General features: G+C 45.6%; 1 protein-coding gene across 2 annotated transcripts in view, besides 1 other annotated feature; it reads left to right on the forward strand.

Annotated features, from left to right (window-relative positions):
- Nucleotides 1–17,051, forward strand: part of LMTK2 (lemur tyrosine kinase 2) — a 102,777-nt gene that overhangs the window by 75,364 nt on the left and 10,362 nt on the right. For both annotated transcript variants that reach the window (NM_014916.4, XM_011515981.4), the window contains exons 8-11: nt 2,826–2,910; nt 4,652–4,773; nt 8,503–8,652; nt 9,389–12,347. In NM_014916.4, the coding sequence (NP_055731.2) occupies nt 2,826–2,910; nt 4,652–4,773; nt 8,503–8,652; nt 9,389–12,347 (3,316 nt within the window). The remainder of the gene's footprint in view (nt 1–2,825; nt 2,911–4,651; nt 4,774–8,502; nt 8,653–9,388; nt 12,348–17,051) is intronic.
- Nucleotides 10,666–10,830: a silencer, noted in NCBI's record as "fragment chr7:97822203-97822367 (GRCh37/hg19 assembly coordinates)". NCBI's record gives its function as "represses an EF-1alpha promoter that drives an FKBP-Casp9 reporter gene in an ReSE screen in phorbol 12-myristate 13-acetate-treated (for megakaryocytic differentiation) K562 erythroleukemia cells {active_cell/tissue: K562(+PMA)}" and the evidence as "EXISTENCE:reporter gene assay evidence [ECO:0000049][PMID:32094911]".

The raw sequence follows: 17,051 nt of genomic DNA on the forward strand, positions 1-17,051 counted from the left end.
AGCAACAACAACATAGAAGACTACATGAAAATGTTTAAACTTTGTTAATCAAAAGACACTATCAATAGGGTGAAAAGATAACCACCAAATGGAGAAAGTATTTGCAAATTATATATCTGAAAAGGGTTATATAAAGCATATATGGAGAATTCGTGCAACTCAACAACAAAACAAACAGCTTGATTAGAAAATGAAGGAAAGTGTGTATTTCCTTCTCCAAAGGAAATATACAAATGGCAATAGGTACACCAAAAGATGCCCAGCATCAGTGATCATTAGGAAAATCCAAGTCAATTTCCCATAATGAAATACCACCTTACACCCATTAGGATGGCTACTATCAACATCAAACAATAATATGTTTTGGTGAGGACGTGGAAAAATTGGAACCCTTGTGCTCTGTTGGTGGGAAGGTAAAATGGTATAGTCACAGTGGGAAGCAGTATGGTGGCTCCTCATAAATATTGAAAATAGAATTTCCATGTGATGCAGTGATGCCACTTATGGGCATATCCCCAAAATGGTTGAAAACAGGGTCTTAAAGAGATAATTTGTACACCCATGTTCATACCAGCATCATTCACAATAGCTGAAATATGGAAGAAATGTAAACTAAAAATAAAACTTTAAGCTTTCCAATTGTCTGAATGAACTCATCCTCTCAGCCAAGGACATCTCACAGTTCAGGACATGATGGGGAGGGGGCGATCAGATTCCCCATTATACTCTCCCTTTGGAATTCAGGCACAACTGACCAGCATTAACATTAAAACAGAGATCTTACGACTTTTTGTAGCAATAAGACACCATATTCCAGCCTGACTAAAGTAAAGCATCACATGACAGATAGCAGGCCCTGTAAGAAATTGAAGTATTTTGCCCCCAAATATATTCCTTTGACATATTTAAAAATGGCCCTGCAAAACTGTCTCTTAGAGGCAAAATCTTACATTCTGTAGAGAATGCCTTTCCCTTTCTAGGTCTTTTCTCTGATCCTGGAGAGAATTATTTGAGTCTTTCATCATTTTAAGTCTCATAAGAAACATTTACAATCTATTCTTTCTGAAGCCTGCTACCTGGAGTCTTCATCTGCATAATAAGAACCATGGTCTCTACAACCCCTTATCTTAACCCAGACACTCCCTTATATGGAATTTCAGGTGTGTATTTTTTATTTATTTTTATTTTTTATTTTTTGAGTACCCAGGCTGGATTGCAGTAGTGCGATCTCGGCTTATTGCAGCCTCCGCCTCTGGGGGTCACATGATTCTCGTGCCTCAGTCTCCTGAGTGGCTGGGATTACAGGCATGCACCACCATGCCTGGTTAATTTTTTTGTATTTTTAATAGAGATGGGATTTCACCATGTTGGCCAGGCTGGTCTTGAACTTATGACCTCATGTGTTCCACCTGCCTCAGCCTCCCAGAGTACTGGGATTACAAGTGTGATCCACCATGATCTGGCCTCACTCCAGCTTTTTTGTATTTTCAGTAGAAACAGGATTTTGCCGTGTTGGCCAGGCTGGTCTTGAACTCCTAGCCTCGAGTGATCCGCCTGCCTTAGCCTCCCAAGATGCTGGGATTACAGGTGTGAGCCACCATGCCCAAGTGGGTTTCTGGTCTTTAGGTAAACTAGTTTGACAGGTTGCTAATCGGAAAATCTTTGAATCCACCTGTTAGCAGTGGTGAATCTATCTGGGTCTGCAACAACTTGATTCTTGCCTCCTTGGAGGAAAGAATTTTGCTGAGAGGCAGTAGTTGGTTTCAGGCAGAGGGAGAGACTGAGGCAAGTTTTAAGAACAGGAGTGAGAATTTGTTTGAAAGTTTTAGAGCAGGAGTGAAAGGAAGCAGTACACTTAGAAGGGCCAAGCGGGTGACTTGCAAGATCCAAGTGCCCTGTTCAACCCTTGACTTGGGGTTTTGTACATTGTTATGGTTCTGGGGTTTGCTGAAGTTGTGCACGTGTTCACTTGAGGAGTTTTTTCCTTAACCTGTCGAGCGTTCCCAGTGGGAGGTCGTATAAGAGGCCATTTTGCCTCTTAGTGTGCCTGTTTGAGGTCTTTGAGAAGAGGATAACACCAGTTCCGAGTGTTTTCTGTCTGTTAGGAGACTGTCTTTTCCTGGTGCTGGCTGTGACCACTTATCATTTTAGAGAGACAGTTTAACAACCACCTGACCATCACTTTATTGTCGCCTGACAGTCCTGGGGGCAACGGGTTGGGGGTATGTGTGTGGGGGTGCTCTCCTGCCCTGTCCATATCTGCCTAACTACCTACTCTAACATACCTATGAGCTGAAAGCCTCCACTTAGAGTGTTTGAGTTGTTCTGCCTTTTTTGACTGAGCCATTGTACATCTTACATGTGTTGATTGATGTCTTATGTCTTCCTAAAATGTATAAAATTGAACTGTAGCCTGACCACCTTGGACACATGTCGTCAGGACCTCCTGAGGCTGTGTCACAGGCACGTCCTTAACCTTGGCAAAATAAACTTCTAAATTGAATGAGAAAAAAAAAGAAAAGAAAAGAAAATACAAGGAAACAAGCCATACATCCGGTTTTAATGTAGAACGTGGTACAGATATGGTCAGTATTTAACCTGAGCTAGTTACTTGCCTAAAAGTGTGATCATCTTTATTATTTAAGTGATTGATGACATATGTAATACTTCTACTATGAAAAAGAATTTTGAGAGGTTAATTCTTAAGCAGAGAGCTCAATATACTTACTCGGATCCCGAGAGAAAGCCCATTTCTGTGGCATTTCCATACAGCATGATCCTGGTTGTTGATTCTTCTTGCCATGTTCACTTCCCTCTGTTTTCAGTGATTTAGCCCTGCGGAATTGTTTTCTCACCTCCGACTTAAATGTGAAAGTGGGAGATTACGGAATAGGATTCAGCAGGTACAAGGTAAGCCAGAGGTTTAAATGTTTTCAGTCTGATTTAATTTGAATTGTGAAGTTGTAATGTCACCAAATGCCCCACTGTTTGTATAAGAATCTTAGTCGCTAGGCTTTCTGGAGAGGGATTTGCAGCAGTCATTTTAATGTGGTCTAGGCTTCTGGCGTGTGGCTTGTGTAAGTCTGCGGCTTTGCATCCGAGGTTTTGCAACAGCTTTCCAAAAGTTTCGTTTAAAAATATTTATAAACACTGTAAATGATGTAGTCTGATGGTGCATAATAAATTTTAGAGTGAACACATGAGCAACAGTAGTTATTATTACCTGTTATGATAAAATATACATATCATATAAATGTTTCTCCATTACGTGGTCAGTAAAATTTCAGCTCATGTTCAGTAACCTGGGGATCTAGGTTTTTTTAACTCTGTCATGAATATATTCTAAAGGAAATAAGTGAAGAAGTCAATGAAGTTTCCATTTGTGTGTGTCTGTGTAGCCCCAGTGAATGAGGTAGAGCGTTCTGGGGCAGAGAATGGGACTGTCCCAGCTCCGGGCTGTCAGGAGACCTCGGATAAGCCACTTGACCTCCATTTTCTTTTCCTTTCTTTTTTTTTTTTTTAAACGGAGTCTTGCTATATTGCCCAGGCTGTTCTTAAACTCCTGGGTTCAAGCAACTTGCCTGCCTTGGCCTCCCAGAGTACTAGGATTACAGGTGTGAGTCACCCCACCCAGCCTTGACCTCCGCTTTCTGAGCAGCAACATACGGATAAGATCTGTTCTGTTTTTCGGAGTTCTTGTGAGGACCAAACGGGTAATATTTTCAAAAAATATTATGCAAATAGAAATTGGTTATTTGTCTACATAGTAGCTCTAGTGTCTCGAGCACTTGCTAGATGTCAGGCACTTAGCACCTGCCTGTATCCTGCATCATCTCTTTTTTTTTTTTTTCTTTTTTTGAGATGGGGTCTCGCTGTCACCCTGGCTGGAGTGCAGTGGCGCGATCTCGGCTCACTGCAACCTCCGCCTCCCGGGTTCAAGCGATTCTCCTGCCTTAGCCTTCCGAGTAACTGGGACTACAGGGTCCCTCCACCACGCCCAGCTAATTTTTGTATTTTTAGTGGAGACGGGTTTCACCCTGTTGGCCAGGCTGGTCTCGAACTCCTGACTTTGTGATCCGCCCACCTCAGCCTTCCAAAGTGCTGGGATTGCAGGCGTGAGCCACCGAGCCCGGCCTGCATCATCTCATTTAATCCTCACCGCAGAGGGGAGGTTTGTGTTCTCCTCACTTCACAGATCAGGAAAAAACTTCACAAAGTTGTTGCTTGCGTAGAATCACATAGCTGGTAAATGGTAGAATGAGGACTTCAAACCCCGGTCTGTCAGAGTCTAAAGCCTACAGTCTTGCTCCCTAACTGGCTTCACTGTTCAGCGCATAAGTCCCAGTATATATTGTTTTAGTGTTTTGCTCAGAGTCTATGTTATATGCATCAGACACAGCGTACTTTCTTATCCAAGAAGGATGACTTAGCAAGCGTTCATGGCTCGCAGATGAGGTCATGAAGCCCAGGAGGCTTCAGCAAAACTCCTTACCCACTTTCTGCCCAGAAAGTCACTCTTCATGCCTGCTTTTTTTTCTGACCTGGTTTTTGGATTGGGTATATGTTTTCTGAGAATACCATGGATTTAAATTCTTGAACTCACCAAAAGTATAATTCTATTCAAAATTCTGTGTGCTTTCTAACAAAACAGGAGGATTATATTGAAACAGATGATAAAAAAGTTTTCCCTCTGCGATGGACTGCTCCAGAATTAGTAACCAGCTTTCAAGACAGACTGCTAACTGCAGATCAGACTAAGTATAGTAATATCTGGTACGTATTGGCTTACCGTTTTATTAGTCATTTCTTTGGCAAAGTCCTAACTTCTTCCTCTTTGAGTACTTCCTTAAAGGAAAGTAGTTGTATAAGATGTAGGAACAAAAGAGTATCTGATGGTGTGAAAAAGACAGTTTAAAAGACACAAATAGTAATTATCACAATTGTGGTGATGGAGTTAACGTTTTGAATACTGCCCCTGCTACCCATTTTCCTTTAGAAAAGCAGGAACCAAGTCTGTTTCATATTCTGTGCCTCCCACAGGGCCTGACATGTAATAGATATTTAATATGTATTTATTGAAGTGAAAGAAGAAACTGAAAGGGGTGTGGACTATCATGTTTATACTATGATTTATAGGAGTCAGTTTAATGGGAGCTAAAAAGATGCACCTAAAACTTTGACTAACAATTTCTGTCACAGCCTTCTTAATTTATAGCTATGTTTTATGTGCTGTTGTCCTGCTTTTTTTTTTCTCTCCTTGCTTTCTTTTGGATTGATTTCTTTAAAACAATTTTTTTGCTTTTATTATTTTTTTCATTGATGCATATAATTGGACATATTTATGGGGTACAGTGATATATATATATGTTTTTGTTGTTGTTGTTGTTGTTGTTGTTTTGAGATAGAGTCTCACTGTCGCCCAGGCTGGAGTACAGTGGTGTAGTCTCGGCTCACGGCTCACTGCAGTGTCCACCTCCCTGGTTCAAGTAATTCTTGTGCCTCAGCCTCCCGAGTAATTGGGATTACCAATATGTACTACCACACCATTTTTGTACTTTTAGTAGAGATGGAGTTTTGCCATGGCTGGTCTCGAACTCCTGAACTCAAGTGATCCGCCTGCCTCGTCCTCCCAAAGTACTGGGATTACAGGCGTGAGCCACCGCACCTGGCCCAGTGTAATATTTTGATACCTATATACAGTGTGTGATGATCAAATCAGGGTAACTAGTATCCCCTTCACTCCAGACATGTATCATTTTTTCTTTTTGTTTTTGGGAACATTCAAAAGCCGCTCTTAGAGCTGTTTGAAAATATACAAAAATTTGTTGTTAATTATAGTCACCCTTCAGTGCTTTAGAACACTAGATCTTATTCCTCCTTCCCAGCCGAAATTTTGTATTCGTTAGTCAGCTTCTCACTATTCCTCCTCTCCCTCCCCTTCCCTGCCTCAAGTAATCACTCTTCTACTCTCTACTTCTATGAGATCAACCTTTTTATCTTCCACGAGTGATGAGGTTTTCTTCCTTTTTCTTTCCCCCTTGTGTATCTGCTCTACCTAGTGTATCGTGAGTCTGATACTTCTGTGTTTTTTCATGTTGATGGTTATCCTCCTTTAGCTTCCAGATACAGGACTCCTGGACCATTTCTCTTAAGGCATGTCTCATAATGATGAATTCCTTCAGTTTTTGCTTATCTGGGAAAGACTTTATTTCTCCATTTTTTAAAAAAAGTTATTATTATATATATTTTTTTAGTAGAGACGAGGTCATGCTGTGTTGCCCAGGCTGGTCTTGAACTCCTGGCCCCAAGCAATCCTCATGCCTTAGTCTCCTAGAGTGCTGGGATTATAGTCATGAGCCATCGCGCCCAACCCTCCTTCATTTCCGAAGGATATCTTTGCAGGGCATAGTGTTCTTGGCTGCCAATTTCAGTACTTTGAGTATACCATCCTATTCTCTGCTTCCCTCCTATGTGACTTAATGCTTTTCTCTGGCTGTTTTTAGAATTTTTATCTTTGTCTTTGGCTTTTGACAATTTGACTATAATGTGCCTCTGAAATGACCTTTTGGGGTTGATTGTATTTTAAGGACCTTTGAGCTTCCTGGATCTGGATGTCTGTATCTCTCCCAAGACTTGGGAAGTTTTTAAGCTGTTCTTTCCTTAAATAGCCTTTCTCTGCCTTCTCCTAGCTCTTTTATTTCTGTAACTCCCATAATGTGTGTATTTGTTTGCACTGTAGTCTCCCATAAGCCCTGAAGCCTCCCTTCACTCCTTTTCATTCTTCTGTCTTTTTCCCTCTGACTGGGTGATTTCAAACAACCTTTCTTCAAGTTGAGAGGTTCTTCTGCTTGAGTCTGTTGTTGAAGTTCTGTATTTCTTTTTATTTCATTTATTGAATTCTTCAGCTGGGCTTACTGCCTGTGAGGACCCCAGGCGACCCCAGTGTGAGGACTGTAGTGTCCACGGTGAGCAGTGTGAGGATGTAGGGGTCCACAGTGAGATCCTCTTACTTGCCCTTACCTGGAAGAGAAAGTTGCTCCTGGTTCCTGGCTGCGCCTGCCAGGGATGGGGTGGTGGAGGCCAGGCGTTTCCTTCCGCTCTCGCTGTGGCTGTCCTGAATCTCCTGAGTACCTGTTACTCCTTTGATGGGCTCTGGTGCTCTCCTTTAGTGATTTTTGTCAAAATGTAGTTGCTTCTTTGTTGTTTGGGGCGTGTCGTGGAGGGTTAGCTGGACATCAGAATCACTGGGGAACTTTTTAAAACGTGAGTTTTCTAGGCCACACCTGGATCTACCAACTAAGCATCCTTTAGGGGTGGATCTGACCTAGCAGTGTGTGTGTTCACGGCTTCCCAGAGGACACAGATGAGAGTCACGTTCGGGAACATTGCAGTAAATAGACACAAATGCGGGATGGAGGCAGTGCGTGGTGGGGAGGAAATGCAGAGACCTCGTGGAGGAAATGAGAGGCAGCTCCTCTGACCCAGGAAGCCAGCAGAGGCTGTTTCCATGGGGACAGAGCACCGCAGTGTGAGAGAGGATTGGGCTGGGACTGAGAAGGGCGTTCCTGCTGTGGTGAGGCAGCCCTCAGGGTCTCTCCTGGCACACAGCTGCCAGCGTGATGGGGGATCCCTTCAGAATAGCAGCAAAACCCACGATACTGAGGAGTAACTCAAACCAAACTTGTGGGTCTCACAGAGAGGATATCGTCTTGCCCATGTAAAGATTCCTTTTAGATGGTTTCTGGTGTTTACTAATGTTGTTAATAGGTGTATTTTTCTACCAAAAAAAAAAAATCAGAATTCAGGGTATTTATCTTGTTTCCAGCAATTCTGCCAAATTTTTAGAACATTCTGATGGTCTTTCCAATAATTTATTGAGTACTTAAAAGTTGATAGTCATCTCATCCACATAATTACACCTATTATCTCTGTTTTGTACTTTTTTCATTGGCCAAAACTTCTAGGGTGGTATTCAGTAGCAAATAGGAGGCATGGTCTTCCTCATTTTAACAGAAATGCCTCTTTTTTTGCTATTGTGCTGTTGATTATTGGTTTCAGATTAAAGAACAATCTTGGCTGGTTGTGGTGGCTCACGCCTGTAATCTCAGCACTTTGGAAGGCCAAGGCAGGTGGATCACCTGAGGTCAGGACTTTGAGAGCAGCCTGGCCAACGTGGTGAAACCCTATCTCTACTAAAATTATAAAAATTGGCAGGGCATGATGGCTTGTGCCTGTAATCCCAGTTACTTGGGAGGCTGAGGCAGGAGAATCACTTGAACCCGGGAGGCAGAGGTTGCAGTGAGTGGAGATCACACCATTGCACTCCAGCCTGGGCGACAGTGAGACTCTGTCTTAAAACAACAACAACAACAACAAAGATCCTATTAATAATCTTTTCAATACACACCTTGTCCTTAAAATTACTGGCTATGTAACAAGTATGAGTGTTAAAAATTTGACATCTAAAGGGAGAGAGAAACAGCCATTTTCTTTTTCCAACAGGTCTCTGGGTGTGACACTTTGGGAGCTTTTTGACAATGCCGCACAGCCGTATTCAAACCTTTCCAACTTAGATGTCCTCAACCAAGTCATTAGAGAGAGAGACACAAAACTCCCGAAGCCCCAGCTGGAGCAGCCCTACTCTGATAGATGGTTGGTAGCCTCACATTCCGCCTGTTCTGTTTCGTCTTCACTGTGAGGTGTCCCCAAAACACAAAAAAATTCGTGGGCCAAATATTATGTTTCTTCATTTCCTCTTTCACCATGATGTCACCATGAGCTGAACTACTTAATGTGGTTGGCAGTGATGAAGGTGTAGAAATGTTTCGGGTGTTGAGTTGGCTTTAGGGTCCTTGTAAATTCTTTTCATATTGTTTATTTATTTATTTTTATTTAAAAAAAAATGTAGAGACAGGGTCTCAGTATGTTGCCCAGGCTGTTCTTGAACTCCTGGCTCAAGTGATCCTCCCACTTCAGCCTCCCATTGCCCCAGGATTACAAGTGTGAGCCAGGGTGCCTGGCCTCTTTTGATATTTTTAACTGATTCGGCCAGGCACAATGGCTCATCCCTGTAATCCCAGCACTTTGGGAGGCTGAGGTGGGCAGATCACGAGGTGAGGAGTTCAAGACCAGCCTGGCCAACATGGTGAAACCCCGTCTGTACTAAAAATACAAAAATTAGCTGGGCGCGGCAGCGGGCGCCTGTAATCCCAGCTGCTCGGGAGGCTGAGGCAAGAGAATTGCTTGAACCCAGGAGGCAGAGGTTGCAGTGAGCCGGGATCATGCCACTGCACTCCAGACTGGGTGACAGAGCAAGACTCCGTCTCGAACCAAAAAAAAAAAAAAAATTCGTGATGGTTCCACTGATTGCTTGTCGTGTGCTGCTCAGGTATGAAGTCTTACAGTTCTGTTGGCTGTCACCAGAAAAGAGACCCGCGGCTGAAGATGTGCACAGGCTGCTGACTTACCTGCGGCTGCAGAGCCAGCGGGACTCAGAGGTCGACTTTGAACAGCAGTGGAACGCTCTGAAGCCGAACACAAACAGCAGAGACTCCTCCAACAATGCTGCATTCCCAATTCTCGACCACTTTGCCAGGGACCGGCTGGGTCGTGAAATGGAGGAAGTCCTCACCGTGACCGAAACCAGCCAGGGCCTGAGCTTCGAGTATGTCTGGGAGGCCGCTAAGCACGACCACTTTGACGAGCGCAGCCGGGGCCACCTGGACGAAGGCTTGTCCTACACGAGCATCTTCTATCCGGTTGAAGTTTTTGAGAGTTCGCTTTCAGATCCTGGGCCCGGAAAGCAAGATGACAGCGGCCAGGATGTCCCCCTGAGGGTCCCTGGAGTGGTTCCTGTTTTTGATGCCCACAACCTTTCTGTTGGAAGCGACTATTATATCCAGTTAGAAGAAAAAAGTGGTAGTAACTTGGAGCTTGATTACCCACCAGCGCTGCTCACAACCGACATGGATAATCCAGAAAGGACTGGCCCTGAACTGTCCCAGCTCACGGCGCTCAGGAGCGTTGAACTTGAGGAGTCCAGTACAGATGAGGACTTCTTCCAAAGCAGTACAGACCCCAAAGACTCTAGCTTACCAGGGGACTTACACGTGACCAGTGGCCCCGAGAGCCCTTTCAACAATATATTTAATGATGTGGACAAATCGGAAGATTTGCCCAGTCACCAAAAAATATTCGACTTAATGGAATTAAACGGAGTTCAAGCCGACTTTAAACCTGCCACTTTAAGTTCCAGTTTGGATAACCCCAAAGAGTCAGTCATAACAGGCCACTTTGAGAAAGAAAAGCCCCGTAAGATTTTTGACAGTGAGCCTCTCTGCCTATCAGATAATCTTATGCACCAAGATAATTTTGATCCATTGAATGTTCAAGAATTGTCAGAAAACTTTTTATTTCTTCAAGAGAAAAACTTACTAAAAGGCTCATTGTCCAGCAAAGAACACATAAATGATCTTCAGACAGAACTTAAGAATGCTGGTTTTACTGAAGCTATGTTAGAAACGTCATGTAGAAACTCTTTAGATACTGAGCTTCAGTTTGCTGAAAATAAGCCAGGCTTGTCTTTGTTGCAGGAAAACGTAAGCACAAAGGGTGACGATACAGATGTCATGCTCACAGGTGACACTTTGAGCACCTCATTGCAGTCTTCCCCGGAAGTGCAGGTACCTCCTACCTCCTTCGAAACAGAAGAAACGCCCCGTCGGGTACCCCCAGACTCACTCCCAACACAGGGAGAAACCCAGCCCACGTGTTTAGATGTTATTGTCCCGGAGGACTGTCTCCACCAGGACATCAGTCCAGACGCTGTGACTGTCCCGGTTGAAATTCTCTCAACTGATGCCAGAACCCACAGCCTGGATAACAGGTCCCAGGACTCTCCTGGCGAGAGTGAGGAGACCCTGCGACTCACCGAAAGTGACTCTGTTCTTGCTGATGACATCCTTGCCAGCAGGGTGAGTGTAGGGAGTAGTCTCCCGGAACTGGGACAGGAATTGCACAATAAACCATTTTCGGAAGACCATCACAGTCATCGCCGGCTAGAGAAAAACTTAGAGGCTGTGGAGACTTTAAATCAGCTCAATTCTAAAGACGCAGCAAAAGAAGCAGGCTTGGTGTCTGCCCTCTCCTCGGACTCAACCAGTCAGGACAGCCTCCTGGAGGACAGCTTGTCAGCACCCTTCCCAGCCTCTGAGCCGTCCCTGGAAACCCCGGACTCTCTGGAGTCAGTGGATGTCCACGAAGCGCTACTGGACTCTTTAGGATCTCACACTCCCCAGAAACTAGTGCCCCCCGATAAGCCGGCAGACAGTGGCTACGAAACAGAGAACTTGGAGTCTCCCGAGTGGACCTTGCATCCCGCTCCCGAGGGCACCGCAGACTCAGAACCAGCCACCACGGGCGATGGCGGCCACAGCGGTCTGCCTCCCAACCCGGTCATTGTCATCTCAGATGCCGGCGATGGTCACAGAGGCACAGAAGTGACCCCTGAGACGTTCACAGCTGGCTCCCAGGGTTCATACCGAGACTCTGCGTACTTCTCAGACAATGACTCTGAGCCCGAGAAAAGGTCTGAGGAGGTCCCGGGAACCTCCCCATCCGCCTTGGTGTTGGTACAGGAGCAGCCCCTACCCGAGCCAGTCCTCCCCGAGCAAAGTCCTGCTGCCCAGGATAGCTGCCTGGAAGCCAGAAAGAGCCAGCCAGATGAAAGTTGTCTGTCTGCTTTGCACAACTCCAGTGACCTGGAATTAAGAGCCACGCCGGAGCCAGCACAGACTGGTGTTCCCCAGCAGGTGCATCCCACGGAAGACGAGGCCAGCAGTCCCTGGAGTGTGCTGAATGCAGAACTTAGCAGCGGCGATGACTTCGAGACACAGGACGATCGCCCCTGCACCCTCGCTTCCACGGGGACCAACACGAACGAACTCCTTGCCTACACCAATTCTGCGCTGGACAAGTCCCTGTCCAGCCACTCCGAGGGCCCGAAGTTGAAGGAGCCGGACATCGAAGGGAAGTACCTGGGGAAACTCGGGGTGTCAGGGATGCTCGACCTCTCAGAGGACGGGATGGATGCAGACGAGGAGGACGAAAACAGCGACGACTCGGACGAGGACCTGCGGGCCTTCAACCTGCATAGCCTCAGCTCCGAGTCGGAGGACGAGACCGAGCACCCCGTGCCCATCATCCTCAGCAACGAGGACGGAAGGCACCTGCGGAGTCTGTTGAAGCCCACAGCGGCCAATGCCCCCGACCCACTGCCCGAGGACTGGAAGAAGGAAAAGAAGGCAGTCACGTTTTTCGATGATGTCACAGTCTACCTGTTTGACCAGGTATCTGTTCCCTCTAAATCATTTTCTATACACATCCATATAAGGATTCCAAAATGTGCTAGGAAATTGAGTGTGGTCTGTTTTCTAGTTGCCATTTTGAGGCAGCAGATTGTGATTACTCACAAAAAGTAATTTGGGGTTGGTTAGAGTTCTAAGAATATGCAGAAATGTCATTTGCTCAGGGAGTTCGTATTAAATTAAGAGAAAGAGACCCGAATGCTCTTCCTGGGTCTTCTAATGGAGTCTTCCTGAATTAGTCACCCTTTACACACCAAATTTTTACTGTTTTACTTTTTTATTTTTCTTTTGAGACAGCCTTGCTCTGTGGCCCAGGCTGGAATGCAGTGGTACAGTTGCAGCTCACTGCAGCCTTGAACTCCTGGGCTCAAGTGATCCTCCCACCTTCCATAATAGCTGGGCCCACAGGTTCATGCCACCATGGCTGGCTAAGGTTTTGGTGTTTTTTTTGTTTTGTTTTGTTTTTAATTTTTGTAGACACACGGTCTTGCTATGTTGCCTAGGCTGCTCTCAAACTCCTGGGCTCAAGCCATCCTCCCACCTCAGCCTCTCAAAGTTTTGGGATTACAGGCATGAGCCACTGCGCTTGGCCTCCAATTTTTAGAGCCTGACAATTGGCAGTAGGACCCACCACTTGGGTACAAGCCTGGAACCATGGCTGGCGTGCAGCCCTGGAGACAGCTCAGGAGAGGGGCCAACCAGAAGCCCTGCGGTGGGTGTCTGGAGGGTGTGACACACAGCAGGAGCGTCTGTGGTCCTTCTGCTCTGTCCCCTGACCTGTCCTCTTTCCCTGCTTTGGAGCAGGCAGCTTAGTGTGCACTGCTGAGTGGGCATGGATTTAGGCTCCTTTAAAAATGTAACAGCGGATAATTCAAGCATGCTTTAAAAAAAAAAAAAAAGTTCTTTTCATACTAGTCTTTGTAGCCCTTGAATTTGCTGCTTGCATCAGCTGGATTGTTGGGAGAGCTCAGTGGTGGGACATGAAAATGGGGTCCCCTCACCTTCTAGAAGGCGCAGGAGTCCTCGCCGTCTCCTTCACATTGCTTGCCCTCCCTTTTGCTCCATTCTGGGAACCCAGACCTTGGTCTCAGCCCCTGCGTGGCACCATCCCTCATGGGTCCGTGGCTATGGCGGGTCCAAGCACTGTTCCACCTCCTCCCCCAGGAGCTGCGTCTGTTGAACGTCACTTTATGCCTTGTTCCTCTGTGTTCTGTTCACTTTGGTTTTTATGATGTTTCTTTAAAAATCGTTAAATCACCCGCATTTGAGCTATAGCATATATGGCGGGGAAGTGGATGTTTAAAAAATGAAAAGTAAGGCCAGGCGCGGTGGCTTATGCCTGTAATCCCAGCACTTTGGGAGGCCAAGGTGGGCGGATCACCTGACGTCGGGAATTCAAGACCAGCCTGGGCAACATGGCGAAACCCCATCTCTACTAAAAATATAAAAATTAGCCAGTCACGGTAGGCAAGACTGCAGGCCCAGCTACTTGGGAGGCTGAGGCATGAGAATTGCTTGAACCTGGGAGGCAGAGGTTGCAGTGAGCCAAGATTGCACCACTGCACTCCAGCCTGGGTGACAGAGTGAGACCTGTCTCAGAAAAAAAAAAAAAAAAGCAGCCTCCTGAGCTCAGCCTGACCTCTTGAACCTGATTCTGCGAGGGGCCAGGAGGCCGTCTTTCTCTTTTCATTCCCCAGGTGGTTCCTAGGCAGATCTCGAACTCAGGAGCCTCTGAGCTCAGGGAGCCTGAGAAAACACGCTGCCGTTTTCTAGTAAGAGTGGAAGGGAGAAGGGATCACCTGGCCCCTCGGGTTTGTGTTTTGTTTTCAATGCATCCACATAGCCCTTTCTCCACCGTCTCTGTGAACTTGGATTATCGCTGCATTTCTCCATGGATGGGGTAATGTATAGGTGGGACGGAACTGTCAACTGTGCTCGGTGAGCAGTGCGGTTAGGAGCTAGGGAGCACGCTGTCCCCACTTCCTGAAAGCCTGGGGGTAGCTGGAGTAGTGAGAGGGACGCAGTCCCAGTGGAAGCAGCCTGTGGAGAAAACTCCCTGGGGCCGCAGAGTATGGGCCCCTTGCACAAGTCTTTGTGGAGGATGTTATGTTTTTCTGACTTTAGAAGACAGAATTGCAAAAGATGAAGATCTGTGACAAGGGCACTCTAGTTATGGGATGGAAGGTACAGAGATCAAATACCAGACATGCTTAATGGACGCGAGGCTTTGACAAGGAAGTTAGTGTCAAGGAGAAAGTCGGAAGGTGGGTCAGGGCCAGAAGAAAATGAGGAAGATCTTTCTGATGATCTGAAATTCGTTTGCTTATGCGTCTCATGCAGCATGCCTTGAAGCGACAGCCACCAAGCGTTCAGGCCGAGGACTGAGGGTTTCCTCCCACTCCTGCTTTCTTTTTTAATGAGCTGGTTTTGAAGTTGTGTAGTTTTTAAGCAGTTGAAGTATCTTGGCTCCAAACTTTTAACTGAGTGTTCATGGGATTGGGCAGCAATTGTTTCTTGGTTATATTACTATTTGTCAGTTCAGCAAATACTTAACCAGCACTTACCGTGTAAAGTAGTAAAGGCTGGTGAACAGTCTGTGGGTGCCAGCACCTTTATTATACATTGAGTCTTGTTTTGCTTCCCCATGTGGGGGTGGTTGTCACCATCTTCATGGAGAGGACCCTGAGGCTCAGAGTAGGTAAACTTTGCACAGGGTCTGGCCCCAGTGAGTAGCAGTGCTAGGGCTTGACCCAAGTCTCCTGGACCGAGCACAGAACTTTTCACCACTGAGCCCTGCCACCTCTTGCATGCACCTTTACAATCTGCAGCCTGGCATCGCATTCGACTTTTAGCACTTGCGATGTCCTTCCTCAGTGCACAGTGTTCTTGAGACAAAAGTAGCGGGTAATGATGCTTACTTGCAATTAGTGCGACAGGGTTCCCTCCAGCCTGATCCGTCATACTGTAAACAAGCACTGAAGGCTGGGCACAGTAGCTCATTCCCATAATCCTAACATTTTGGAAAGCTGAGGCAGGAGGATCGCTTAAGGCCAGGAGGTGAGACTGGTCTAGGCAGCATAATAAGAACCGATTTTTAAAAAATTGGCCAGTTGTGGTGGCCCGCACCTATAGTCTCACCTGCTCAGGAGGCTGAGGCAGGAGGATCGCTTAAACCCAGGAGTTTGAGAGTGCAGTGAGCTATGATTGTGTCACTGCACTGCAGCCGGGATGGCAGAGTGAGACCCTGTCTGAGAGGCTCCTGCTCTCCAGCTTTGAGGAATAAACATTCAGGGCTCCACCTAGGTTTTTTTGGTTGGTTTGGGTTTTGTTTGTTTGCTGGCACTGTCTTTGGTTTTGTTATCAGAGTAATTAATGCTGGTCTCATAAAATGAGTTGGGAAGTATTTCCTTCTCTGATAGTGTTTGGAAGAGATTATGTAGATTTGTTGATCTTTCCAAAAAATTGCTTTTGTTTTCATGGATTTTTTTTTCTTTTCTCTTTCGTTGATTTCTGCTTTGTCTTTATTATTTCCTTCCTTCTCCTTGCTTTGAATTTATTTTGCTTTTTCTAGAAAAGCTTAGAATTCGAGACCTTACTTCTTTTCTCCTTTTTTTTTTTTTTTGAGACGTCTCACTCTGTCGCCAGGTTGGAGGGCAGTGGCGTGATATCGGCTCACTGCAACCTCCGCCTCCCGCGTTCAAGCAATTCTCCTGCCTCCACCTCCTCAATAGCTGGGATTACAGGCGTGTGCCACCGCGCTTGGCTAATTTTTGTATTTTTAGTAGAGACGAGGTTTCACCATGTTGGCCAGGATGGTCTCAATCTCTTGACCTCATGATCTGCCCACCTCGGCCTCCCAGAGTGCTGGGATTACAGGCCTGAGCTACCGCGCCTGGCCTCTTTTCTCTTTTTTTGAGACTGGGTCTCGCTCTGTCGCCCAGGCTGTAGTAGTGCAGTAGTGCGATCTCTGCTCACTGCAGCCTCCACCTCCCAGGCTCAAGGGATTCTCCTGCCTCAGCCTCCTGAAGTAGCTGGGACCACAGGCGCCCACCACCGTGCCTGGCTAATTTTTGTATTTTTTGTTTCGTCATGTTGCCCAGGCTGGTCTCGAATTCCTGAGCTCAGGTGAATCTGCCTGCCTTGGCTTCCCGAAGTGCTGGGATTATAGACGTGAGCCACTGCACCTGGCCTCTTCTTTTCTAATAATTTAATGCTATAAATTTCCCTTTATGTACTACTTTAGCTGCACCCAGCAAATTTTAATGTGTGAGTTTTCGTTTTCATTCAGATCAAAAAGTTTTTTGTAAGACTTCCTCTTGGGAGCATAGATTAACAAGTATAGTTTAATATATTAGTTATAATTAATAATTACTAATAATTGGTTAATATAGTTTAATAAGTATATTGTTTAATTTCCAAGAGTTGGAGATTTTATTGTATCTTTTTGTTATTAAATTTTAGTCTAATTCCATTATGGGCAGAGAACATATTTAATATGGTTTCAATGCTTTTAAATTTGTTAAGGTTTATCTTAGAGCCAGGATATGGTCTTTCTTGGTGAATTATTCCATGTATACCTGAAAGAGTGTGTATTTTGGTTTTGGTGGGTGGATCGTTCTATAAATGTCAGATTTAATTTGTTGATGGTATTAGTTCTTCTCTGTCATTGCCGATTTTTCTGCATAC

The sequence above is a fragment of the Homo sapiens genome, chromosome 7 (assembly GCF_000001405.40).
Source record: "Homo sapiens chromosome 7, GRCh38.p14 Primary Assembly".
Classification (NCBI taxonomy): Eukaryota; Metazoa; Chordata; class Mammalia; order Primates; family Hominidae; genus Homo; species Homo sapiens.